This window comes from Homo sapiens, chromosome 5, assembly GCF_000001405.40.
Source record: "Homo sapiens chromosome 5, GRCh38.p14 Primary Assembly".
NCBI classification, from domain to species: Eukaryota; Metazoa; Chordata; class Mammalia; order Primates; family Hominidae; genus Homo; species Homo sapiens.
The window spans coordinates 73,495,235-73,520,322 of NC_000005.10; the positions used below are offsets into that span (position 1 = coordinate 73,495,235).

The window sequence follows — 25,088 nt, forward strand, 5'->3', positions numbered from 1 at the left end:
ACATACTGGTTGAGCAGCCCTAATCTGAAAATCTGTCATCTGAAATGCTCAATGAGCATTTCCTTTGAGCATGATGCTTGTGTTCAAAAAGCTTGGGATTTTGGAGCATTTGGGATTTAAAATTTTTGGATTAGGGATACTAAATCTGTATTATCTTAGGACTCACTTCTGACAGCCCAGGCTAAAGCCCACTCCTCCAGTCCTTCAAACTTTGTAAAGCACCAATTCCCTATATTAAATCCCTGTGTATTAAAAATAGCCAGATTTCCTACAAGTGAATGCAGAGGCATACAATTAGAAAATATATAAGTTTCCCAAATCGATCTATACAACCAATCCTAATCAAAATTTCAAAATGAAACAAAACCTAAAATGTACATAGAATATCTGCAAATCTGTCAGTCTCAAAAGTGAAAAAGGGAAATAGCCCTACCACCTATTAAGAATATTGAGTTGGCCAGGTATGGTGGCTCATGCCTGCAATCCCAGGCAGATCGCTTGAGGTCAGGAGTTTGAGACCAGCCTGGCCAACATGGTGAAACATGTAATAAAAAATACAAAAATTAGCTGGGTGTGGTGGTGGGCACCTGTAATCCCAGCTACTCAGGACACTGAGGCATGAGAATCGCTTGAACCCGGGAGGTGGAGGTTGCAGTGAGCCGAGTGCTCTGCACTCCAGCCTGGGCAACAGGATGAGACTAAAAAAAAAAAAAAAGAAGAAAAAAGAAAGAAAGAAATAAGCATTATATAAAGTGGATATTTTGGCTTTTGCTGAAGCTGACTCAAATCCAGCTGAGAGATGAAAACAATTCATGGACTTTGATTAGGCTATAAACTAGAAACCAAGGAGGGCAAACAGGGTTCACCTTTCTTGCCTTCTCTATTGACAGATACAATCTTGAGTGCTGAGTAAATGATTCTTAGGCTCCTTGAAGCCCAGCAGGAAAGCGTGGGAGCCAATTACCCACATTTGCCATAGACATTGGGAGCATACTGGAAATGGCTCCCACATTAGCACAAGTTACTCTTTTGGCATCCTTGAGCTAAGATTGCAATGTAATAACTTTTTTTGAAACAAAAAAATCCCATATTTTTGAAAAGTCTAGTATATAATTATTTTATTAGAAGAATCAGAATTTCCTGACTACTCATAAAACCAGCAGAAGCAGCTGGAGTCAAAAATCAAAATTTTGGCCAGGTATCGTGGCTCATGCCTGTACTACCAGCACTTTGGGAGGCCCAGATGGGAGGATGGCTTGATCCCAGGAGTTTGAGACCAGCCTGGGCAACATAGCAAGACCTCCATCTCTAAATAGAAAAGCACAAAAACCAAACCAAAACAGAACGTAAAAAGAAAATCAAAATTTTCTTTTTTACTATTAAGTAATCTTTTATATTTTCAACACGCAGCAAACTTTTAAATTCATGAAAGAACAGGAGAAAAAAGTAGGAACGAGGGGAAAATTAAAAAGTCATAAGCCAGGGAAAGTGGTGCACACCTGTAGTTTCAGCTTCTCAAGTGGCTGAGACTGAAGGATCCTTTGAGCGCAGGAGTTTGAGCCCAGCCTAAGCAACAAAGTGAGACCCCATCTCTTTTAATTTTTTTAAAGTTTTATATTTTTTAAAAAAATTATAAAAATAAAATTAGCAGCATCCCTGGTTTCAAAAAGTAGAAATAAATAAATAAATAAAAGTAGCTCACAATATTTCCTGAAAACAGGTGTATTAAAAGGGCAGAGGAGAGGGAAGGCAAAGAAAAAGAAAAAAAAGGTGGCAGGTTACATACATACAATCTTGTCTCTATAAAAGCTCAGAAAACATCACGTGACTAGGAAGTTTCAAATGCCTCCAATATAACATGGAGGAGAGGAAAAAAACTGTTCCTGGACAAAGATACACATTTCTTCCAAAAGGGGGAGTCTTTCTATATATTTTGTAATATCTCCAGAGCACAGCATAATGTTGGTACTGCCATTTTGGCCTTTGTCATTAGGAAGGTAACCCACATAAGCCTAACTACAAACACCCTTACCTGTACTAAAACTTCACTCATATTTAACTGAAGCAACATTGTTTTTTGTAAATATAACTGTAACAATTATTCTAAAAGGCAATACAGCTGTCCTCACCAGTTATGTTCTTGAGACATCAGTTGCAACAAACTTATATGTAAAAAGTATTCAAAAAGTTTAAACATTGATCTTAACTGGAGAGGGGTCTGCACTTGAACAAGTTTTCTTGCTACACACATTGCATTCTAAGATTTCGGACTCACTTTTGAATATGCAAAGACATTTCATGGTTAAGACCACAAAAAGGCTGATCAGAGAACATTTTTATTTAAATTGCCATTTTAAATATCAGTCGTTTTATCTTAAAGCTTGTCCTGGGTTTAACAAAGTTTAACTCACATCCACGCGTTGTCTCTCCAAACACAGCAGGCAGAAATTCTCCTTTGATTGGATTAAGATAGATAAAGTCTGCTTAACCGTGAATCGCTAATTGTCAAATCCATGCCAATTCGGTACCTAGGAGTCAATTTTTTTGCCTGATAAACAAGATAATTGTGTGGACCGTTTTAAGGTGGTTAGTCATCTGCTAAATTGGCTGAAATGCGGATTACCCAGTTCCTTCGTCGTACAGAGTTGCATTCTGAGGAGTGGGGCTCGGGGATACAGCCCCCAGAAATTCTGAACCTCGGTCCCGCAATCTACCACACCACCTAACCTTGGAAGGCCAAACTAACTTCACTATTTTTGACAAAATGCTTTGGTAATGGCTCATTCGGGCCGAGAGGGAAATTCTGCAATTCTCCAACCCACACCTCCAGCAAGGGGAGAGCTGCTTGAGTGGTGAGCACAAGCTGGGCACCTCCGGCGTCTCCAGGAAACGTGAATAGGCCCTTTCTTCGGAGGGCACAGAACTTCAGGATCAGGGCCCAATGGAGACTGAGCGGACTTAACCCTAACTGTGCACAGGACCGCGCTCTCCGACCCCTTTGTGGCCTCTCCCAGAGGTACGGGCTGCGCCCCAAGCCAGCAGTCTCTCGTAGGGCCTACAGCCGGCAGCCGCTGGAGCAGGAGGAGGAGAATAGGGACTCGCTGGACCATCACAAACGCTGTCGCGCGTGCGCAGGGAGGAACCGAGTTCGCGGCGAAGTCAGTTTCCTGACTCTTGAAGGAAGTGGCCTTGTGTCACTTCCGGCCTCCCTTTAGCTGCCATCTTGCGTCCCCGCGTGTGTGCGCCTAATCTCAGGTGGTCCACCCGAGACCCCTTGAGCACCAACCCTAGTCCCCCGCGCGGCCCCTTATTCGCTCCGACAAGGTACAAAAAGGCTCTGGACGGCGGCGTGGTAGGAGGACGGGAGCGGGGGCGGGAAGTTCCCTGAAGGAGCGAGACAGGGAGGGACAGGGCAGAGGAGGAGAGGAAGGCGATGCGACGGACAGGCGCACCCGCTCAGGCTGACTCTCGGGGGCGAGGTCGAGCCAGGGGCGGCTGCCCTGGGGGCGAGGCGACGCTGTCTCAACCTCCACCTCGCGGCGGAACCCGAGGACAGGAGCCTCAGGTACCGCGAGGCTTGCGGAGAGTGGCCGGGCCGGGCAGGCCCTGGCTAGGCCGAGGCCAGGCCAGGGCCAGGGGTGGGGGGTGCTGGCCAGGCGTGGGGTAGAGCCTTTCATCCGGGCCTGCCAAGAGCGGGGAGCTGTGGGGGAGTGGTGGGGAGGCGGGTGCTCTTTGGGCTCCCTGGAAACCCAAATTTGGAGCTTTGCGGGGTGGATTTGGGATCCAGGTTTCGGCCTGTGTAGGACGTTTATTTTCCTGCTGGTATCTTGGGAAATAACGAGCATGGAATGCTAGAGTGAGCTAAACCTATCCTTGCTGAGGATTTCCTCTTTTTCTAGATGAAAGAAACAATCATGAACCAGGAAAAACTCGCCAAACTGCAGGCACAAGTGCGCATTGGTGGGAAAGTAAGTTTTAATAGTTCGGGTTTGTGGGTTTTTTTTTTAAGGTTTAGGTATTTTAAAAAACATATTCCTTTTGCGCTTCTTATATTATCGGTGACAAACTTTGCCTATCGAGGGAAATTCACGGAGCTAGCAAATCTCGAGGAGCGGGGGAGACGAGGGTTGGAGACACATCAGTGAGACGAGCTAAAAACATCGCCTTTGTGTAAACATGTTTGTGTTTTCAGTGTTACAGAGTGTAAGTAGAACACAAAAGTGTTTCCTAATTTAATTAGTAAGGAAAATGTGTCATTTCAGTTAGATCGTTGTGCACATCATACCCTTGACTTGTTTTGGCCTGAGTTTTCTAAAGTCAGTGCTTGTTTGTCTCTCTTGTAAATTGAGACCTTTCTGTACTGCTTTCTGAACTAAATATTCTTTAGGGTAGTTGCATATTTCAAGGGTATTTGAAGATACGGGTACATTTTGGAGTTTAAGAGCAGTGACTATTAGATTTGAAAATATAACCCAAGTAGGTATCTTTCCTGTTCTGACTTTGTATTACTGTAAAAATGAGGGAATTAAAGTGACTGATTTTTAAATGATCAGTTTTTGATTAATTGTTTTTTTCCTGGTGGATACTGATTCACATCAAGGGGATTCTTTTTTGAAGCTGATTTTTAGATTGTCCTGTAATTAATAAGAAGTCCACTGTAGACAGAGGTCTACCTAGTTTGTATTGTTAGCACATTCTTAGTATTTAACAAGGTGTGGTAGCTTGTTGAAACAGAGCATGTCTTTACTTGGTAAAACTTGTAAAGCTTCCATGGTACATGTTTATTACCTTTTAGTTTTTCCCAACTTTAAGCGTTTAACTTAGAGTTAGCTGTGAGATAGCCAGAAGTTGCACTTAGACTTAAATAATAATATACAGCTTTGTTAAATTACTGAACTTTGCCAGCGGTGAATTTATCCTGATTTTTTTTTACTTTTTATTTTTGTTAACGTTAGCCATCTTCAGGATCCACACCCACACATTTAACAACATTAGATGTTTCTTGTCCTCTTTAATCAATTGTTATCAGACTGTGGCCTTCAAGTGCCAGCAAAACTCAAATTTTTTGTGTCTCAGTGTTTGGATGCTCTTATATTGGTGTTTTTAACCACTCTTACTTTCAGTACAGTTTCAGAAGGAGTAATTTGAATAATGTGCTTATGTGCAGTCTTTTTGTTGTTACTCTCATCATTAGGCTTTAACTTTGGGAGACATCATTTTAGGGTAAAGGAAATCTTGAGATTTGCTAGGATATTTAAAGCTGATAACAAGATTAAATTTTGTGTCCTAACATCTTAATACTCGTTTAGCTAATAATACAAGAAGTATTTCTGTAGTCACAATATGGAAACATTTCTACACTGTTTAAGAAACGTACTTATTATGGGATGTGAAATTAGGTGAGTTAATTTTGCTTTAGAGAAAACTGCAGGTGTTAGGTGCTCTTAGGTAAATGTTACAAAAGCCCTTTATTTTCATATCTAATCACAGCATTAATAATAATTATTTAAGTGAAAATTGAACTCTACATATGTGAAGTGTATGAAACCTCTAGAAAGTATGCTGGGTTTGTCTTTACAATCTTAGAAATTCCTTTGAGTTTCTTAGAGAAGATTTCTTTGGAAACCAGATACATACATGACCATTTCAAAGTGATTTTTGTACTTAATAGTTTGGAGAGGTTAGTAACCAGTACTTTTTTTTTTTTTTTGTAGCCATAGATATTTTCTTCAGTTAAATAACAAGATTTATTTAAGCCTTTACTATGTTGGATCCTGAGAATATAAAATTTTAAGAAGTTTAAAGTCCCTAGGTGGGCTTTAAGCCTAGCAGTGGCGATAATTGTCTTTTCTTAAAAAAATCTTCTTTCACAGTGTAATATACATAGTACAATAGTAGAAGCATTTTCAAAATCTAGAGATGGGAATGATTTGGCATAGGGAAAGGGGGTAATTGCAGAATTTAGGAAAGGCAAACAGGAGGTAATGACTTGAATAAGATTTTAAAGGATGAATAGGAATAGGGATGGAGGTTGGGGGACGGTGAGGTGGTTGGGTGTGATAGACTTTCCTTGAGTGCCTTCAGTGAGCTAGATACTGTTGTAGATACTGGGTTTATAGCAATAAACAGAAGTCCTTATGGAGCTTACATTCTAGGGAGAGGAGATGGATGATAAAATGTATTTATCTCTTATAGTAATAAGTGTTATGAAGAGAAATAAACCAGGATAGAAAGAAATTGATGAGTGAGTGTGGAAGTTGCTATTTTACTTTGGGTAGTTGAGAAAGACCACTTTGATCAGGTGACATAAGAGTAGAGATCTGCAGTGAGGGAAAGAGCCATGTAGATGTTCCGGAAGGAGAGGAACAGCATGTGCAAAGGCCCTTGGGTCATAGCCTGCTTGGCCTGTTCAAAGAATAGCCAAGGTTTATTGGCTAAAGAAGAGGGATGGTAGCAGATGCAGTCAGGAGTGGCATATTAAGGGCAGGACAGTTTGTGTAGGGCTCTTGTAAGTTAAGGTAAGGGCTTCAGACTTTACTATCGAGTCCTATAGAAGTCTATATACAGATTCATTTGATTGTTCCATACACTGTCTTGCCTGTAAATATTAATTTGGATGTTGATTTTTATTTAATATAAAAACAGAAAAGGGGTCAGGCGCGGTGGCTCACACTTGTAGTCCCAACACTTTGGGAGGCCGAGGCAGGCGGATCACTTGACGCCAGCAGTTTGAGACCAGCCTGGCCAACATGGTGAAACCCCATCTCTGCTAAAAATACAAAAATTAACCAGGCATGGTGGTGCCTGTAATCCCAGCTACTCGGGAGGCTGAGGCAGGAGAATCACTTGAACCTGGGAGGCGGAGGTTGCAGTGAGCCGAGATTGCGCCACTCCAGCCTGGACGACACAGTGAGACCCTGTCTCAAAAAAAAAAAAAAAAAAAAACAGAAGAGGTTAATAATTCTGGATGTGGAATTCTTTCAAATGCTTAATTTAGATTGACACATGCTACCTCTTTGATCACTTTTAGAGCAAATGTAAAAAGTAGAACTTTGAAAAGATCATTCTTTTCCTTTCCCATTTTTTGCTTCTATCTTCGCCTTAGCCTGCCTGCTCACTGCATAAGTTTATGATTATGGTAATGTTCTTATACAGATCCAAAGGTCAGAAATGAATTGGAAACTATTCCCATTTGAAAAATATCTGTTGTGGTATAAATGTGCTGTTTTCTTTCCTCTTCTCCCTGACTTTAGGGAACTGCTCGCAGAAAGAAGAAGGTGGTTCATAGAACAGCCACAGCAGATGACAAAAAACTTCAGTTCTCCTTAAAGAAGTTAGGGGTAAACAATATCTCTGGTATTGAAGAGGCAAGTATCAAATTTTGTTACTTTAAAAAACAAGATTTGGCTGGGAAAAGTTAACGTTAATGCATTAAATGGGTTGTTTTTTTTTTTTTTAACTTAGGGACTTCAAAGTCCCTAAGATGTGTTTCTACCATAAATTAATAAATATCAGGGAGCTCATTAAGTCTGAATGCTATTAGAATACATATTCCATTCCAGGCAAAATTTCACCTGTGCTTCACAGTGAAATACTAGTTAGCCAGACTTAGTTTAATAAAACATTTGTTTTTAAAGAGACTGGTCAGCATTGCTAATTTAAATTTTTCTTTTCTTAATAGGTGAATATGTTTACAAACCAAGGAACAGTGATCCACTTTAACAACCCTAAAGTTCAGGCATCTCTGGCAGCGAACACTTTCACCATTACAGGCCATGCTGAGACAAAGCAGCTGACAGAAATGCTACCCAGCATCTTAAACCAGCTTGGTGCGGATAGTCTGACTAGTTTAAGGAGACTGGCCGAAGCTCTGCCCAAACAATGTGAGTTTCCTAGTAATGGTTTTACCAGGGAATTACTCATTTAGCAGCTGATTTCTGATCTCAGGGCTCAGAATGGATATGAGTATTTTTAAGTTTGGAAATGCAAGCTTTAAAAATAACAGATTTGTAACTGATTTTAAGCAACTGTCCTTGCTCAAGTTTGCAGTAATTGATGTAGCGTGCCATGATTGTTACACTTGATTTTGTGGAATGTTTTCTACTTACTTGATTTGGATCAGATACTTTATTAACTAGAAATGATGAAAATGTTAATTTGGTGCTTTGCCAATAACTACTTGTAAGTTTGGAATTGAAAAAAAAATTAGTGTAAATTATGAAATTACTTCAGTTTCATCTATATAGTTCGTATTACCAGTAATCTTTTAAAAATGGCTTGCCAGTATTCTGGCATTTTTAATTACAGTGTGATAGGGATTTTATTCGGGGCAGAAAATAGTGTAGCTGAATATACATCTGAGGATGTGGCAGTGTTATGCTGTTTTCTGTGCTTAAAATTTTGAAGAATAGGAATGCAGGAGGAAGTCAGAGGCTTATATATGGCTCTTTAGTTACCCATGTTTTTCTAGGTATTGACTTAATCTGCCTCAATTTTCATTTTTATTATCACATTGAGTTGCAGGTTCTAAACTGTCAGGGCTTTCAGAGCTGAAATAGGCTTTTGAAGTATCCCACTGATGCCTGTATGGGCCTAGTACATAACTCTCCTGTGTACGTTCATATTCTTGTGTGATAAAGGAGAGTGGATGCTTACCACTCACAGACTCTTTAATTTTTTTACTTTAACTTTTTTCATTTCAGTAAGTGGTTGTTGAGCATCACCCTTATGCCACACACAGAGTAGTTGAGAAAATGGCATCTTCATTTGTCTCCCAAAATCTCACCATGATTTGGTATGTGGGTTTTACCTGCACTCTAAGAGTTCCCTACTGCCCTTATACTACCTCAGGGCCTATGGTGGCCCAGAGGGATTGAAAGGATGGGTATGGAATTTTGTTTGTTGGCTGTTCCTAGTATTTTAACCCATTTGTAGACATTAGAATATCATGTTATTGATAGTATCATAGATAAAATCCCAAATGTCCCTTATCATGGAAATAAGTTGTAACAACACTTGGCATTTCATCTGTTCTTTTTTTTTTTTTTTTTTTTTTTTTGGTGAATATTTATTAAAAACCTAGACAAATAATGTTTACATTTTCCTTTCATAGCTGTGGATGGAAAAGCACCACTTGCTACTGGAGAGGATGATGATGATGAAGTTCCAGGTAGGAACGTTTACTTGTGGTTAACCTAGAGAATCTTAGCAAGGGAGAATAAGAAATCTTTGTAGGAAAAACTACCCAGGGAAGAGGGGTGGTAAGTTAAGATGGACATAGATCTTACTTAGAATGAGAAAAATAATGCAGTATTAGGTAATTGAGAATTATGTTTATAGACTTGACTTGGCTTGTTTCTGTTTGGGATCCCAAGGATGTGTAGGTATCTAACCTTAAATATTGAATAAATAAGTATATATATATAGTACCCTAAATATAACTATTACCTGCAGAGCACTAATGACCCTTGCTCCCTACTTTGAAACTCATGAATTTACAAGAAGGTGTGGAGTTGTTCAGGTATCTTGGGATATATATATGCATTCTAAAATCTGTAGCAGCATAACTCCTTTGGGAATCATGAGACATTTTTGTCTCTTACCTGTTATTGGATAAATTTACGTTCTTCTAAAATATTTATTGGGCAGGAGAATCACTGGACTCATAAATATTCCCACTTTGCATAGACAGGTATCCTTAGGAATCCAGGAAAATTTTAACATTGTGTGTCATTGTATTCTTTGGTTCTGCTCCCCCACTATTGACCAATGTATGAGATGGGAAGAGGGGGGCATTTTTTTCACTTTTTTTTTTTTTTGCATTCTTGTTCTTGGGGCTATGACACAGTATTTATCATCATTGGCAAATGAATGTCTTTCCTTCATCCCCTTTTAATATCTGATAATTATTTGTAGATTTGGCTTTTTTAAGAATTTCTACTCTTTTCCTTTTCCTAGATCTTGTGGAGAATTTTGATGAGGCTTCCAAGAATGAGGCAAACTGAATTGAGTCAACTTCTGAAGATAAAACCTGAAGAAGTTACTGGGAGCTGCTATTTTATATTATGACTGCTTTTTAAGAAATTTTTGTTTATGGATCTGATAAAATCTAGATCTCTAATATTTTTAAGCCCAAGCCCCTTGGACACTGCAGCTCTTTTCAGTTTTTGCTTATACACAATTCATTCTTTGCAGCTAATTAAGCCGAAGAAGCCTGGGAATCAAGTTTGAAACAAAGATTAATAAAGTTCTTTGCCTAGTATACAGTTTTATTTTTTTATTTCATTGACACCGATCTGTACACAGTAAAAAAAATTGCTTATAGAAAGCTAATCATGGCATGTAATATGGCTGATAACCTTTGGAATTTGATTAAAGATTTAAAATCACGGTGTAGTGTAACAAAGGTGGTATAAAGTTCTCAGGTTTGAAAACTTTGCTCTCCAACAGTCCTTAGTGCTTCCATGATTTATATGGTGGGTGTAAATATGAGAATAGAGTATTCCTTAGTGGATAAACAGACATTTCTCCCTGATATTCTCTATTGTAAGCATATGTTAAGTGCCTTTTATGAATTACCTCGGTGTTATCTCCTTTATTCCTCAATTTGTGAAGAACTAATAGCTCCATTTTGTAGATGTAACCTGAGGTTTAGAACTTCTAAAAAGTAAAAGTAATCTCCAGATCCCTTCTTTGTAGGATATTTTATAAGGTGACTTGGAAAAGGTAGTGTTTAGAATAGGAGTGGCTCCTGGGTCATTGTCTTTTCCTTAAGTGTCAACACTAATAAATGAATAGGGTTATGTTTTTATTTAATAAAAAATATACAGTAAAATTGAGCATATACAGTTAAAAGAATTTATAATGTCTGCCACTATAATCAGGTTACCAGACAGTTTCATGGTCCCAGAAAATCCCTAAACATAGGGTTACTTTTAAACATTTTTACAAATTACAATGAAAACAATTGTGTAATCTGAACCAAGGCCATTTGAGGAGAAAATAGTTTCTACTTGTAATGGTAATTTATTTTAAATTTTCATAGCAATTTGCAAGTACCTTTTGAAAGTATTATACAGTTGTATCTAAAAGTCACTATTAACCGTAGGGAAAACAAAGTTTTGAGTAAACAGTATTTGCAAATATTTACATTGTATTTTCCTCAGGATGTTTATCAGTTTTGTTGAAGTACACTGCTACAGTGACAAGACTCCTGAAGTCTCAACTGTAACAAAATTATAAAAACTAAGTGCACATTTACAGACTCTTGGTCAGGTTGGGCTGTGCTTATATAGTCACGCTAGATCCCACCCTGATGGCAGCACCTATCTGGGACACTCGGCTTCCTGGCAGAGAAGATGGTGGGTCATGCGCTGGCTCTTAAAGCTGTTACAAACAAAACCAAAGCAAGTGGAATGGCTAAGCTGCAGGGCAGTGGCATGGGGACTGAGGATTTGTGTTTCTGACAAGTTCCCAGGTGATGCTAATGCTACTGGCCTACTGGCCCTACTTTGAGTAGCATGATTGGAAACATTCTCAGCCCAAGAAGTATTGGGGGTGACTGACTGACTGACAAGCTTGTGGAGAATGCCACTGTCTGAATATCTGTCCAGTTTGATCTAGGCCTAGCGGAAAGGGACTAAACAGAAGTGCAGTCGATTTCCAGGTGAGGCCTATCCCAGCATATCTTGCTTATTGGACAGATGTTGTCTAAGGTTAAGCCTGTTGTGCCTGCACTCAGCAACTTCTTTCCAACAATCTAAAATTATTTCTTCAGCTTATTGTGTAAATAAGGGTTTGTGTTCGTGGCTATGGATTAATATGGCAAGTTTTTCTTGTAGTCTCTTCAATATCAAAATAGGAAGGGTTATGTTACAGTTAGAAAGGACCAAAAGTCTAGTTGCTACAAAGGTTTGTCACATTTGAAGTTTGTGGTTTGCCCATGGCTGGGCTCCGCTGTACTCCAGAAACATCTAACTGGAACATTGCCAGTCTCATGATAGGGAAAATATGGAGAACAATCAGCTGGCTCTTTCAAAGTGATGCTGGGAAGTGATGCATATCATTAATAAACTTCCTCAGCCAAAGCAAGTCACATACAGAGTAGTGGCTGTGGGACTGGGGAAGTATAATCCTCCAGGGTAGCAGATATTTTTGGACAATAATACAATCTACCATATCTTTCTAATTTTTCTTTGTCTACAGTCCGTTTAGCTGCTGTTACATATTAAAAGCACTCTACCACTTGTTTTGTGTCTTCTTTGCTTATAACCCCAAGAAAGAGCCTTATTGTACAGATAAGAAAATTATCTTTAAGAGGTGAAATTATTTATCTCAGGTCACACACCCCCCAGGTGTTAGGATGAGATTCAAATCCAAGTCTGCTCTTTCAAGTTCACTACCTGCTGGAAAGAATTTTAGGCCCTGGCAGACTAGAGGGGCAGACCGGAACAAACTAGTTTTCAGCTGGAAACTGAAATAGACATCTGTTTCGATCTGACAGCTTTTGGGATTAATACCCTTTATTTGTTAAAATAATTGAGCTAAAATACGTTTGTTTCATTCCCATAACCCTATGGTGCACAGAACAGAGAGCTACATTCTAAAATTTGGAAACAGATTGAGAAATGAGCTGAAAGTAAGATTTTGGTCTGATTTCTACTAATCTTTTTTTCTCCATTAATGCTGGATTCATGTTCTTCAGTAGCTCTTCCCTCCCTCTGCCATCCCAGTAAGATATATATGTTTGTATATGTGTGTGTGTGTATATATACATATACACATATATATACACATATACATATATATACACATATAATACATATATACACATATATATACATATATACACATATATACATATATATACACATATATAGATATATACATGCACACATACTTTTTTTGAGAGAAGTATTAAGGCAACTAATAACAGTTTTCAGCTTTTCCAAAACAATGATTAGAAAAGTCTTCTATTCACATAAGTTTTCATCGCTCCAATCAGCACAGTCTTGAATGCCATTTTTGCAGCGAGTTCTGGGAATGCAGGCACAGTCAGCAAAGAAAACAGTATCACATCTCCAGCCTGAACACTTTGGGCACTGTAAAACTAGACAATTTTATTTATTTTAAAAACCATAACTGTTAAAATGTCAAGGTGGACTGAAAAAGATATTATTGGAAAAGAAATAGCCCCCTGGATCTTAAAAATATTAGTGAAAACTGCCCAGCAGGAAAAATTGCAGATGTTTATTAAAGATTCTACATATTTGGGTGAAAGAATTTGTACTTTGAAAAGCCAAGACAAGTACTACCCCTCACCATCAGCCTAAAAATAAACTTACTGACATATTGCATAAATAAGAAAGGGTGCTCACACCGCCCGCTGAGCTCTGTGATGTAGCCGCTTGCGGAGACTGCAAGCAGCCACGGCGCGCCCTCTTCCGTGGGAATGGAAACATCTGCCACACGTGCCGGAAGCCAAGTGGTGGCGACAACTGCGCGCCACTCCGCGGCCTACCGCGCAGATCCTCTACGTGTGTCCTCGCGAGACAAGCTCACCGAAATGGCCGCGTCCAGTCAAGGAAACATTGAGGGAAATTTTGAGTCACTGGACCTTACGGAATTTGCTAAGAAGCAGCCATGGTGGCGTAAGCTGTTCGGGCAGGAATCTGGACCTTCAGCAGAAAAGTATAGCATGGCAACCCAGCTGTTCATTGGAGGTGTCACTGGATGGTGCATGGGTTTCATATTCCAGAAGGTTGGAAAGTTGGCTGCAACAGCTGTGGGAGGTGGATTTTCTCTCCTTCAGCTTGCAAACCATACTGGGTATATCAAAGTTGACTGGCAACGAGTGGAGAAGGACATGAAGAAAGCCAAAGAGCAGCTGAAGATCCGTAAGAGCAATCAGATACCTACTGAGGTCAGGAGCAAAGCTGAGGAGGTGGTGTCATTTGTGAAGAAGAATGTTCTAGTGACTGGGGGATTTTTCGGAGGCTTTCTGCTTGGCATGGCATCCTAAGGAAGATGACCTCATGTTCATTGTTCCTGGTTTTTTCCAGCCAGCAGCCTCTACACTCCATCGTAGGACATCGAGTCCCTCCTCTCCTTCTCCCATGCCTTCCTGCCTGCCATGGCAAATCTGAGTGGCTTCTATAAGCTTCTGCTGGTACAAATTAATGTGGCACCATGAGCTTGATGGTGGCAGAAGAGACAATAGTCCTTAGCTCTCCTCCCAGTACACCCCCTACTTGGTCAGTCTGTAGGTCAACAAGAAGGTCAGTCTGTAGGTCAACAAGAAGGTTCCTTTACCCCCATGCAAGACACTTATGAGAACACATTGCAAGATGGCTGACCGTGGAGGATGAGTGGATCCTGAAAGGTTGTCCCAAACTGTTGATTTGGAAAAGAAATAAGCACATAGATAACCTTATTGTGTGCTGCATGGAAAGGAACTGAATACATTTGCCTTTAAGCATGAAAAAAAAAAAAGAAAGAAAGAAAGGGTCCCTTTGAGTTTGTATGTTCAATCAGCAGGGAAAAGAATCACTGCTAATTGGCAGCTAGCAAGAAGAAAAGGATCTCCTTATACTTTTAGTCTTTATTTGTCAGAGCATTGTTATCTGTAATTCCTAGCATTTCTATTTCTACCCTCCACGATGACCAGACAAAGGGCAGGAAATTATCTATTTAGCGTATTTCTGATAGGGCTTTCAGATACTACTAACTGGGGCCACGAGGTATTGGAATTGCACCTCTGCCATGTTTTCATGAAATTGTGGGGTGATCAGGTGTCTGCCAAGTATTAAACTACCGTAAGGAACAGAATGAGGGGAGGAGAGAAGGAGGAAAGTGAGGGAGGAAAAGCAAGGAAATGGCAAAGGTTAAACAAAAAAATTTTTGAGAGCCAAAGCACTCAACAGATTTTTGTTTGATCTTCACCAACCTTTGTAAAGAAATATAGAAGGAATCTGATAGCAGACAAGAGCTGTCCGTCAAGATTATTTCCTTTGGTAATTCTTACAGAACTGGCTGTATTCTTAGCTAGAGAATTCATCTAGTTTAAACATGCACAAACTACTGGAAATGACAGAATCTTAAAATCATGGATGTATCCTTAAGGAAGGCTTGTAAGGATGAGTTAATTTATGTAATTGAAGTATAAGGGTAGCCACTCCAAGAAGCCATTAAAAAATTAATGACATTTTCATTTTTACCTGATTTATCTGAGCAATCACCACAGTCATTTCTTGTGTCACACACCTTGTCCATATATGTCCAAGTCTTCTGGTTGGGACACTTGAATATCAAGTTTTGTGGGAGACTGTTGGGCATTTGACCTATATTAGACAAAAGCATTAATTCTAATAGAAAGCATTCACGTACAATAATGTTTTCATATAATTCTGAATTTTAGTGATTAGTTGCTGGTGACTGTTTTTAAATTTTGGTTACTTGTCTGCCTTACTAGAGTGGGTAGCAGGTTCGTCTTCCCCTTGACTGCAATCCAACTTGCCATTACACAGCTGGGAGGGTGGCAAGCAAGTGCTGAGGTCCTCGCACAAGAAGCCCAGTTGCTGTGAAGCTGTCTTACATTGTCGATGTGGTAAATCTGGAAAATATTTATTTATTTATTTATTTCGAGACGGAGTTTCGCTCTAGGCTGGCGTGCAGTGGCGCCATCTCAGCTCACTGCAACCTCTGCCTCCTGGGTTCAAGCGATTATCCTGCCTCAGCCTCCCTAGTAGCTGGGATTACAGGCACCTGTCACCACACCCGGCTAATTTTTGTATTTTTATTAGAGACGGGACTTCCCCATGTTGGCCAGGCTGGTCTTGAACTCCTGACCTCAAGTGATCCTCCCGCCTCAGCCTCCCAAATTGCAGGGATTACAGGCATGAACCACTGCGCCTGGCCTAAATCTGGAAGATTTATAAGACAAGTATTAAATGTTGACACATGCATTCGTGACCATGAACATCAGCTTTAATAACAACATGCCCCTCTTCCCTCTTCTGCTTCTTACCATCGTTCTTTTTTTGACTGAAGCTTTAGCTGTAACCATTGTTCTTTTGCCCATTATTTCTCCTCCCTCTTTTCTTTCTTATTCTCCCTCATTCTTTTTTGTAATACTACTGTATGTGGGCAAACAAGCATACACTCACCACTGCTGGAGAAGTACTGGAAGGTGCCTGGGAGAGGGTCCATAGGCATAGGCTCTGGCTTGAGCTTTACCATGGGCTGGTTATATAGCCCCCTCCATTATTTTCTTAGCTAGAAATGAGAGCAAGGGTAACTCTCTATGCTGACTTCATGGGGATACTATGAGTTAAACTGATATTATTGTTTAAATGTAATTAGTCTACCCATTCAAAAAATGAATGGGAGGTAGTCAAAATAATGTGAAAGGTATTTTTAAAAATTTCAAGTGCTATAAAAATTAGATGGTGGAAGTTAAGATGTAAAGAGCTCATTGGTAACATTTGTATCTCAGACATATTTACACCTAAATAACGTATACCCAGAAAATTCCAGATTGGTGTGTAGAGTGATAAACAGGCTGGAAATACTTTAGGTACCTGATTTAGAAGTGGTGAGGGCTTGGTAAATTTTACATCTTAAATATTTTATAGTTGGGACTGTTGACAATTAAGAGGCAGATAACACTAGTTTATATCCCTTAATCTAAGAGGTGCTTGGCATTGTGGTTTTAGGGACAAGAACTGTTACGATCTGATAATCTGAAAGAACTTGTGTCATTTTTCATCCTCTGAGAAATTAACACCAAACTAGATTAGATGTGAATCTAACTTGGAGGATTATAGTTTGGGGAGGAAGCAAAAGTAGGCAAGGGAACCTATCCTGATGCAGTTCTAATGCCTATGAAAGGAGGGGGTTAATGAAGGTCTGCGTAGGAAGTCTCAGACTGCAGCTTTTTTTTTGTGAGACGGAGTCTCACTCTGTTGCCCAGGCTGGAGTGCAGTGCAATGGCGTAATCTCTGCTCACTACAACCTCTGCCTCCCAGGGTCTAGCAATTCTCCCGCCTCAGCCTCCCGAGTAGCTGGGATTACAGGTGCCTGCCACCATGCATGGCTAATTTTTGTATTTTTAGTAGAAATGGCGTTTCACCATTTTGGCCAGGCTGGTCTCGAACTCCTGACCTCAGGTGATCCGCCTGCCTCGGCTTCCCAAAGTGATGGGATTACAGGCGTGAGCCACCGTGCCTGGCCTGCAGCCAGTTCTAAGAAAGTTTCAGACAGGCCAAGGTGGAGTCTTTGAGGCAAAGTCACCCATTAGCAGGGTCCCATGTCTTGAGGGATGGGTAGCACTAGCAACCCCACAGTGCTCAGTAATTGCCTGGGGACCACGTGGGGAAGAGTAGCCTTGGCATGAATGTGGTGGTGGGTCCAGACAGGTGGTGGCTGGGGCTGTCAGTTAAAGGAGCTCCCTGATGCAGACGCTCTTGAAGGAGACCTGAGCAGAGCACTATTATTGGCACATAATATGTGCTCAATAAATGCTTTTCTGAATGAGTGTTCAAAAGGTAAAATGAGAATCCAGATCTTACCCTTATGTCCCATTGTGTAGAATCCTACTAACTCCCAAAGCTGACTAGGATCGTGAGTCCAAAACTGTTCTCATCAGGAGACCAACACCCTAAGCCTTAGGTTTTTGTTTGTTTGTTTGTTTTCATGGCAATTTGATGAGTCAGTTTCCCATATTTCAAATCTATCACTTTCTCTATGCCCCATTTCCTTCACTGAAGCCACACAAATACTGCTTGCTTTTATCATCTCAAAAGCCTTCCATGGCTCCACTTCTGGCAGCATCAAGGTTCAGTTCTTTAATCAACATGCATTACTGAAGGCATTTGTCCAATAAGCATGTAGCAGGGCTGGGATTAGAAGGATATTGCTTGTCTTCAAGATGCATTCCAGAACAGATAATTACTGCACTGTGTGTCCAGGAGCTGGGTTAAGCTTTACACAGGATTTGTGGAAGCACAGAGGTGGCACACCTCACTCAGTCTGGGGACACCTGAGATTAGTCTTAAACCCTCTATGAGCCAGCCAAACAAGCAATGGAAGAAGGACATCATGGCAGAGCGGAGAGCATCTGCCAGAGTGTGGCAAGAGGAAGCGTGGTGTCAATGTGTGGATGCGTGTGTGTAATGCAATTCAGTGCTACTGGACCATAATCCTTCCTTATTTTTCACTCACCCCCACCCCTTAACTACTCAGTGTTATTTTTCACCTCTCTCCCTCACATACTTCAAGTTTGGTGCAAGGCAAAGTCCTAATCCTTTGTGTCCTACCAGAGGGTACACAGTTTCCATCTCTGGCAAACCTCTTCCCAAACCTCAATCTAAATCTGAACCCCCTACAAGGTTTGGCTCCAGTTCTCACTTTTATGACCGTGTCCCTTCAGCACCAGTTCTAGCTGATTTCTCTCAAATTACTGGAAATATGTATCATCTCACTCAACTTAATTCCTGGTCGTATGCTGTTCTGTATTGCCCACGACTGTTTCACCAGTCTCCTAATCACAGTGGAAACTCCTGGAAGGTGGAAACTGTATCCTGACTTCAGAGTCAGGCTGACCTGGATCAGAAACCTGGCTTATTAATGTATTTGCGATATGATCTGGGGCAAGTTGCCTCCCCCCACCGACTCTCAGTCATAATGGTGATAGCACCCTGCAGGTTTGTTAAGAATAAAATAAAGATGAGAAGTATAAAATGAACAGAGCAGTGGCTGGCACCTACCACATGCCGAACATTATCAGTAGACTCACCCATTTTGGAAATATATGGAGTATAAATATACTCTTGTTGGTTGAGTGAATTATTGACAGATTGGCCACCCAGAGGTGACACATACTTTCAGGTTTTACAGGTATTCCAAAGGTGATCCCAAGACCAGTCACAGCGGTGATCACACCCAGTACAAGGACTGCCATGTAGGAAATCAGAAGACATTGCCTGGTGGGAAGCCAGCTGTGATCTGTCACCGCAAAACACACAAGCACAAAAGAGAGTCTCTATCACAGGACAGAGGCTCACAGTGGGGATACAGTGTTACCTAACCAGGTGTTGTTCAGGTTTTCTCACTGTGAAAGGCAGAAGCCAAAATTATTAGACCTTGAGTGTGTGCTTTTAGTGATAATGGTGCTTTTCCTGTCTACAGTTTCTAATTTGATCTTCTGGCAACCAGCCTTATGATGAGTGGGTATTGCTCCCCTCGTAAAAATGAAGCTTTACAATGAAGAAAGAAGGACCAGTGAGGTGAAGTGACTTCTCAGGTTTATGCTGATATAAACGGAGCCCAGTCTTCTGGTTCCTATCTGGGTAGGGCTGCTTCTACTATGCTAATGTTTCCTGGGCCCCACCCCAGACTACAGAATCAGACTCTCTAGGGGTTGCACCAGGAATCTGCACATCTTCTGAATACCTTGAGTCATCCTTAAACACACACAAATTTGAGAACACAGCCCTATACCAAAGATGCCAGCCTGGGCAACACAGTGAGACCCCATCTCTACAAAAAGTTAAAAACCCAAAATAAATTAGCTGGGTGTGGTGCTGCACACCTGTAGTCCCAGCCTACTGGGGAGGTTGAAGTGGGAGGATCACTTGAGCCCAGAAGGTTGAGGCTGCAATGTGCCATGATAGAGCCACTGTACTCCAGCTTGGGCAACAGAATGAGACCCAGGCTCAAAAACAAAACCAGGCCGGGCGTGATGACTCACACCTGTAATCCCAGCATTTTGGGAGGCTGAGGCAGGCAGATCACTTTGAGATCAGGAGTTCGAGACCAGCTTGGCCAACATGGTGAAACCCCATCTCTACTAAAAGTACAAAAATTAGCTGGGCATGGTGGCATATGCCTGTAATCCCAGCTACTTGGGACGCTGAGGCAGGAGGACTGCTTGAACCTGGGAGGCAGAGGTTGTAGTGAGCTGAGATCGCGCCACCACACTCTACCTTGGGCGACAGTAAGACCCTGTCTCAAACAAAAGAAAACAAACAACAACAAAAAAAAAAGCAAAGACGAAATGCGGACCATGGTTTTGGGATCCAATTAGACATGCCAAAGGACAAACATTTGCCATCTGCTTAGTGGTTTCTGGAGTAAGCAATCATTGAAGAACAGGAAGCGGAAGCTGCTTCTGTTTTATTTAGAGTGGCTTGGCACCATGAGCAAGAACTTGCCTGACCAGTTTTTTTGGCACACCACGAAGAGAAGGAGTTCTCAGACCACTTGTTATTTTATTTTATTTTATTTATTTTTTTAAATAGAGACAGGACCTCATTATGTTGCCAGGCTGCTTTTGAGCTCCTGGCCTCAAGCAATCTTCTCACCTTAGCCTCTCAGTGTTGGAATTATTGGCATGAGCCACTGCACCCAGCCTCATGATTATTTTTGTCAGTTACAGCAGCACTACCTTTTGCCAACAACGATACCCACCTTTGATATTTCCAAAGTGACCCATTGGCCAGAGTTGCTAAACAGCTCTGAACCTCCCTCAGGGGCTGAGTCTGGAGTTGCGGGATCTCTTGGGCCCCCACCTAAGGAACTAGCACTCAAACCCCCTTTTGGGTAAACAGTATTTTTTAACAAAAGGGAGATGGAGTGGTGTCTTTTCATAAGAGCCACTTCTAGACTCTAATCTTTTGTTCCTTTGGAACTATGTCAAATATACAAATAAATGCTTTTAGCTCTACCATTGGATAGTGCTTCAGAATTAGCAGCCCTGTCACATAGCTATGAATATTCACATTCTTGGTGAAGAAACTTAGGCTTGAAGAATCTTAAGTGTCACAGCCTGTCAGTGGTAGAAACAGGGACAAGAAGGCAATCAGACACTCCAAGTCTATTCGCCACACCAAAAATCCCTGCTGAAGATTCTCACTCTGCCAGACCACAAGGACCCTGCAAGCAAGGCCTTGCTCCTTGAACCAGATCTGGGTTCAATGTTAATTTATTCTTCCCACAGTAGCTACAGCCTTTAAAATGTTCTTACTCTCTCGGCTGGTCACAATGGCTCTTGCCTGTAATCACAGCACTTTGGGAGGCCAAGGTGGGAGGATACTTGAACCCAGGAGTTTGAGATCAGCCTGGGTAACATGGTGAGACCCCGTCTCTACAAAAAGTTTTGTTTGTTTGTTTGTTTGTTTGTTTTGTTTTGTTTTTAATTGGCCAGTCATGGTAGTGTGCACCTCTGGTCCTAGCTACTCAGGAGGTTGAGGTGGGCGTATTACTTGAAACTGGGAGGTCAAGGCTGCAGTGAGCCATGATTGCACCACTGCACTCCAGCCTGGGTGACAGAGTAAGACCCTGTCCCAGAAAAAAAGAAAAGAAAAGAAAAGAAAAAAATTGCCATAGGGGAAAAAGAAAATAAAAGTTTTTACTCTTTGACTTAGAAAACCTACTTTTTTTGGAGGAGGGGGACGGAGTCTCGCTCAGTCGCCCAGGCTGGAGTGCAGTGGCGCAATCTTGGCTCACTGCAACCTCCACCTCCCAGGTTCACACCATTTTCCTGCCTCAGCCTCCTGAGTAGCTAGGACCACAGACGCCCACCGCCACGCCCAGCTAATTTTTTTGTATGTTTAGTAGAGACGGGGTTTCACCATGTTAGCCAGGATGGTCTCAATCTCCTGACCTCGTGATCTGCCCAGCTTGGCTTCCCAAAGTGCTGGGATTACAGGCATAAGCCACTGCACCCGGCCCTTTTTTTTTTTTTTTTTTTTTTTTTTGAGACAGATTTTCACTCTTGTTGCCCAGGCTGGAGTGCAGGGGTGTGATTTCGGCTCACTGCAACCTCTGCCTCCTGGGTTCAAGTGATTCTCCTGCTTCAGCTTCCCGAGTAGCTGGGATTACAGGCGCCTGCCACCACACCTGGCTAATTTTGTACTTTTAGTAGAGATGGGGTTTCACCATGTTGCCCAGGCTGGTCTCGAACTCCTGACCTCAGGTGATCACCCACCTTGGTCTCCCAAAGTGCTGGGATTACAGGTATGAGCCGCCACACCTGGCCTAGAAATCCTACTTCTGAGGCTCTATTCTAAGCATATAATTGGATATACACAAGAAAGCTTTAGACGTAAAGACTTTTTTTTGGAGATAGGGTCCTGCTCCATTCCCCAGGCTGAATTCAGTGCAGTGGTGTGATCACAGCTCACTGCAGCCTCCAACTCCTGGGCCCAAGTGATTCTCCCACTTGGCCTTCCAAAGTGCTGGGATTACAAGTATGAGCCACTGGGCCCAGCCAATATTTTTTAAAATAGTATAATTGATAATAGGAAATGTTAAATGCTAAATAATGCTAAAATACATATTAAACAACTGTTTACTAAAAGCAATCAAAATAAGGTACCCAATTTTATATATAAAAGGTTCTTGAATGTGTAAAACAATTATATGAAAACACTAAGCATGAAAACAAAGACTGGGGCAGTCAGAGGCTATCTCTGGGTTGTGGCTTATTTGTTCATTCATTCCTTCAGCTAGCATTTACTCTGTGTTAAGCACTATGCTATATATATAGATACAAAGGTAAACAAGAAAGATATCTGCTTTTCCCTTGGTGAACTTACTTAGCTCTAGATAACAATATGGTTTTTAGCAAGGAGGTTTGTGTCAGAATCATCAGAAAGTGCTTGTTGAAAATACACATATTCAATACCTCACTCCTGAAGGTTGGGTTCACTGAGTCTGGGATGGGGTGAGGCATAATGTAATTTATTTAAAAATCTCTCTTAGTGATTCTGAAATACAGGCAGGATGACAGCTACTGTCTTAGAATAGAGGTCTCCAAACTTTTATGATTCTATATCCCTTCAGTAACAAAATAACTAAATAAAATAAAATTAGCATTCTGGCCAGGCACAGTGTTTCACGCCTATAATCCCAGCACTTTGGGAGGCCGAGGCGGGTGGCTCAGTTGAGGTCAGGAGTTTGAGACCAGTCTGGCCAACATGATGAAACTCCGTCTCTACTAAAATTACAAAAATTAGCTGGGCGTGGTGGCATGCACCTGTAATCCCAGCTACTGGGGAGGCTGAGGCAGGAGAGTTGCTTGAACCCGGGAGGTGGAGGTTGCAGTGAGCCGAGATTGTACCACTGCACTTCCAGCCTGAGCAACAGAGCAACACTCTGTCTCAAAAATAATAATAATAATAATTAAATAAAATTAGCATTCCATCACAATTTATTTATAGATTATATACCTGTACTAGTCCACTAATATGCATATTATTGTAAAACATTGTTTTACAATATTTAACTCAAAATTTAAATTTAAGAAGGATGAGATTAAATATACAATGTAAAAATAAAGATTCTAATATTTTCTCCTCTAATCCTACTAGATCATCTTGCCCACCTTTTGTGATCCATTTGAAAATTAATTCTCTCGTCTAAAGGATAATGAAGCTGTGAGAGGCAAAAAAGAAAGAAAGCTACTTTTATTTTGTTTTGTTTTGTTTTGTTTTTTTGAGGCGGAGTCTCACTCTGTCGCCCAGTCTGGAGTGCAGTGGCGGGATCTGGGCTCACTGCAACCTCCACTTCCCAAGTTCAAGCCATTCTCCTGCCTCAGCCTCCCAAGTAGCTGGGACTACAGGTGTGTGCCACCACGCCCGGCTAATTTTTTGTATTTTTAGTAGAGACGAGGTTTCACCGTGTTAGTCAGGATGGTCTTGATCTCCTGACTTCGTGATCCACCTGCCTCGGCCTCCCAAAGTGGTAGGATTACAGGCATGAGCCACCTTGCCCGGCCCACAAAGCTACTTTTAATAAGTCATTGCTTATTTAGCATCATAGCCCTCAAGGGTATCCAAAAATCTAATGCAAACATTAATAATTAAAATGAAATTAGATCTAAAAATAGGATTAGACATCAAAATAGACCTGTGACATTGACATAAAAGTAGAACAAAGCGTGTTGTCTTAGTCCATTTTCCACTGCTATAACAGAATACCACAGACTGGGTAATTTATTTTAAAAAAGGAAATTTATTTCTCATAGTTCTGGAGGCTGGGAAGTCCAATACCAAGGGGCCAGCATCTGGTGAGTGCCTTCTTGCTGCATCACAGTATGTTTCCAACACATGAAATTTGGGGGATACATTCAAACCATAGCACATGTATTTATTCCTCCAGTGCCTATTATATAACTGCAAGTCATTCCACTGCAGGTCAGCAGACATGAGAAAACGTTATGGGGTCTCTGGGCCCCAAAATCTGTCTTAAATAAGCCATTAACAACCAAGAGAGGAGAGGGGGAGGAGTTGTACAGACAGTTCCTTCCAAATGTTGAGGAACTTAACACAAAGCCTGAAGGGTGAGGTTGGGACAGTGGAATCCTGAGGAGGGACTGGGGCTAAGAAATGGGGAATACTTGAAGTGCAAATCCTCACTCACCTATCTTTTGGCGGAGGCCGATACATGCACATGCGCGCGCACATGCACACACACACACACACACACACACACGCACACGCACACGCACACGCACAGGCACGCAGAACAAGGGTTGTCAGGAAATTGAGCTGAGGTTGCCCAGAAGGCTTGTACTGCCTCTCCTAACTTACTGCTGAGACCCCATCTGGTGCAAGGCCAATTTCTATACTCAAGAGGGCAGCAGAGAGCAATGAATGGGCCCTCATTCATTTGAGATCTTCAGCACACGGGCCAATAACCACCACCCTTGCTGCTTGCTCGGAGCATCGTGGACCCAAGGTCTGGAAGGGCCAGAAGATACTCATGCCTGTCCCATGCTACTCAGGGATGGTTGACCAGAACACTTTAAGGCACTTGGAGATAAATCACCAGCCACTTGCCACTGCCGTTATGATTGTGTGTTCCATTTGTAAGCACTGTGAGGATTGTTTAAGTACCTTCAGACTCTCTTTACTTTCAGAGAGCCTGTGAGGTAAGTGGAATTCGTAGGATCATTTTATAGATGAGAAAACAGATGCCCAAAGATGTGAACACTTGCCCAGACTTCAATAGCTGGTTAGAGACAGGGCTCGACTTGAACCCAAATCTCCTAAAAAAGCAAATTTAGTTTATCCTGTGAAACTCAACAT

The 25,088-nt window shown here is 41.4% G+C and overlaps 1 protein-coding gene, 1 long non-coding RNA gene and 1 pseudogene across 5 annotated transcripts, besides 6 other annotated features; 2 read left to right on the forward strand and 1 right to left on the reverse strand.

The window, feature by feature from the left end:
* Positions 1–2,318: 2,318 nt before the first annotated feature.
* On the reverse strand, positions 2,319–3,086 carry BTF3-DT (BTF3 divergent transcript). The gene has a single exon (NR_186388.1). It is a non-coding gene; the product is annotated as a BTF3 divergent transcript (long non-coding RNA).
* Positions 3,043–3,102: an enhancer, noted in NCBI's record as "active region_22657". NCBI's record gives its function as "activates an Ori minimal core promoter by ATAC-STARR-seq in GM12878 lymphoblastoid cells {active_cell/tissue: GM12878}" and the evidence as "EXISTENCE:reporter gene assay evidence [ECO:0000049][PMID:35858748]".
* Positions 3,133–3,432: an enhancer, noted in NCBI's record as "active region_22658". NCBI's record gives its function as "activates an Ori minimal core promoter by ATAC-STARR-seq in GM12878 lymphoblastoid cells {active_cell/tissue: GM12878}" and the evidence as "EXISTENCE:reporter gene assay evidence [ECO:0000049][PMID:35858748]".
* Positions 3,133–4,006: a biological region, named in NCBI's record as "NANOG-H3K27ac-H3K4me1 hESC enhancer GRCh37_chr5:72794255-72795065".
* Positions 3,196–4,006: an enhancer, noted in NCBI's record as "NANOG-H3K27ac-H3K4me1 hESC enhancer chr5:72794255-72795065 (GRCh37/hg19 assembly coordinates)". NCBI's record gives its function as "activates a minimal SCP1, AML or CMV promoter by ChIP-STARR-seq in naive H9 embryonic stem cells {active_cell/tissue: H9 hESC(naive)}" and the evidence as "EXISTENCE:reporter gene assay evidence [ECO:0000049][PMID:30033119]".
* On the forward strand, positions 3,208–10,433 carry BTF3 (basic transcription factor 3). Of its 4 annotated transcripts, none has more exons than NM_001037637.2 (6): positions 3,208–3,565; positions 3,900–3,968; positions 7,254–7,367; positions 7,682–7,883; positions 9,113–9,169; positions 9,958–10,433. In NM_001037637.2, the coding sequence occupies exons 1-6, from the start codon at positions 3,434–3,436 to the stop codon at positions 10,002–10,004; spliced, it is 621 nt and encodes a 206-aa protein (NP_001032726.1). In that variant the 5' UTR covers positions 3,208–3,433; the 3' UTR covers positions 10,005–10,433. The 4 variants fall into 4 exon arrangements, with proteins under 4 accessions (NP_001032726.1, NP_001198.2, NP_001380581.1 ...); NM_001207.5 differs by having other exon boundaries at positions 3,208–3,324; NM_001393652.1 differs by lacking the exon at positions 9,113–9,169.
* Positions 3,643–3,692: a silencer, noted in NCBI's record as "silent region_16089". NCBI's record gives its function as "represses an Ori minimal core promoter by ATAC-STARR-seq in GM12878 lymphoblastoid cells {active_cell/tissue: GM12878}" and the evidence as "EXISTENCE:reporter gene assay evidence [ECO:0000049][PMID:35858748]".
* FUNDC2P1 (FUN14 domain containing 2 pseudogene 1) lies at positions 13,375–14,481 on the forward strand (annotated as a pseudogene).
* Positions 24,542–24,741: a silencer, noted in NCBI's record as "silent region_16090". NCBI's record gives its function as "represses an Ori minimal core promoter by ATAC-STARR-seq in GM12878 lymphoblastoid cells {active_cell/tissue: GM12878}" and the evidence as "EXISTENCE:reporter gene assay evidence [ECO:0000049][PMID:35858748]".

Bases quoted from the DNA above. Each gene is read 5' to 3' on its own strand.
- BTF3 (NM_001037637.2), top strand. From the start codon at position 3,434: ATGCGACGGACAGGCGCACCCGCTCAGGCTGACTCTCGGGGGCGAGGT. The intron at 3,969-7,253 runs GTAAGTTTTAAT...CCCTGACTTTAG, and splicing joins AAGTGCGCATTGGTGGGAAA to GGAACTGCTCGCAGAAAGAA. The intron at 9,170-9,957 runs GTAGGAACGTTT...TCCTTTTCCTAG, and splicing joins TGATGATGATGAAGTTCCAG to ATCTTGTGGAGAATTTTGAT.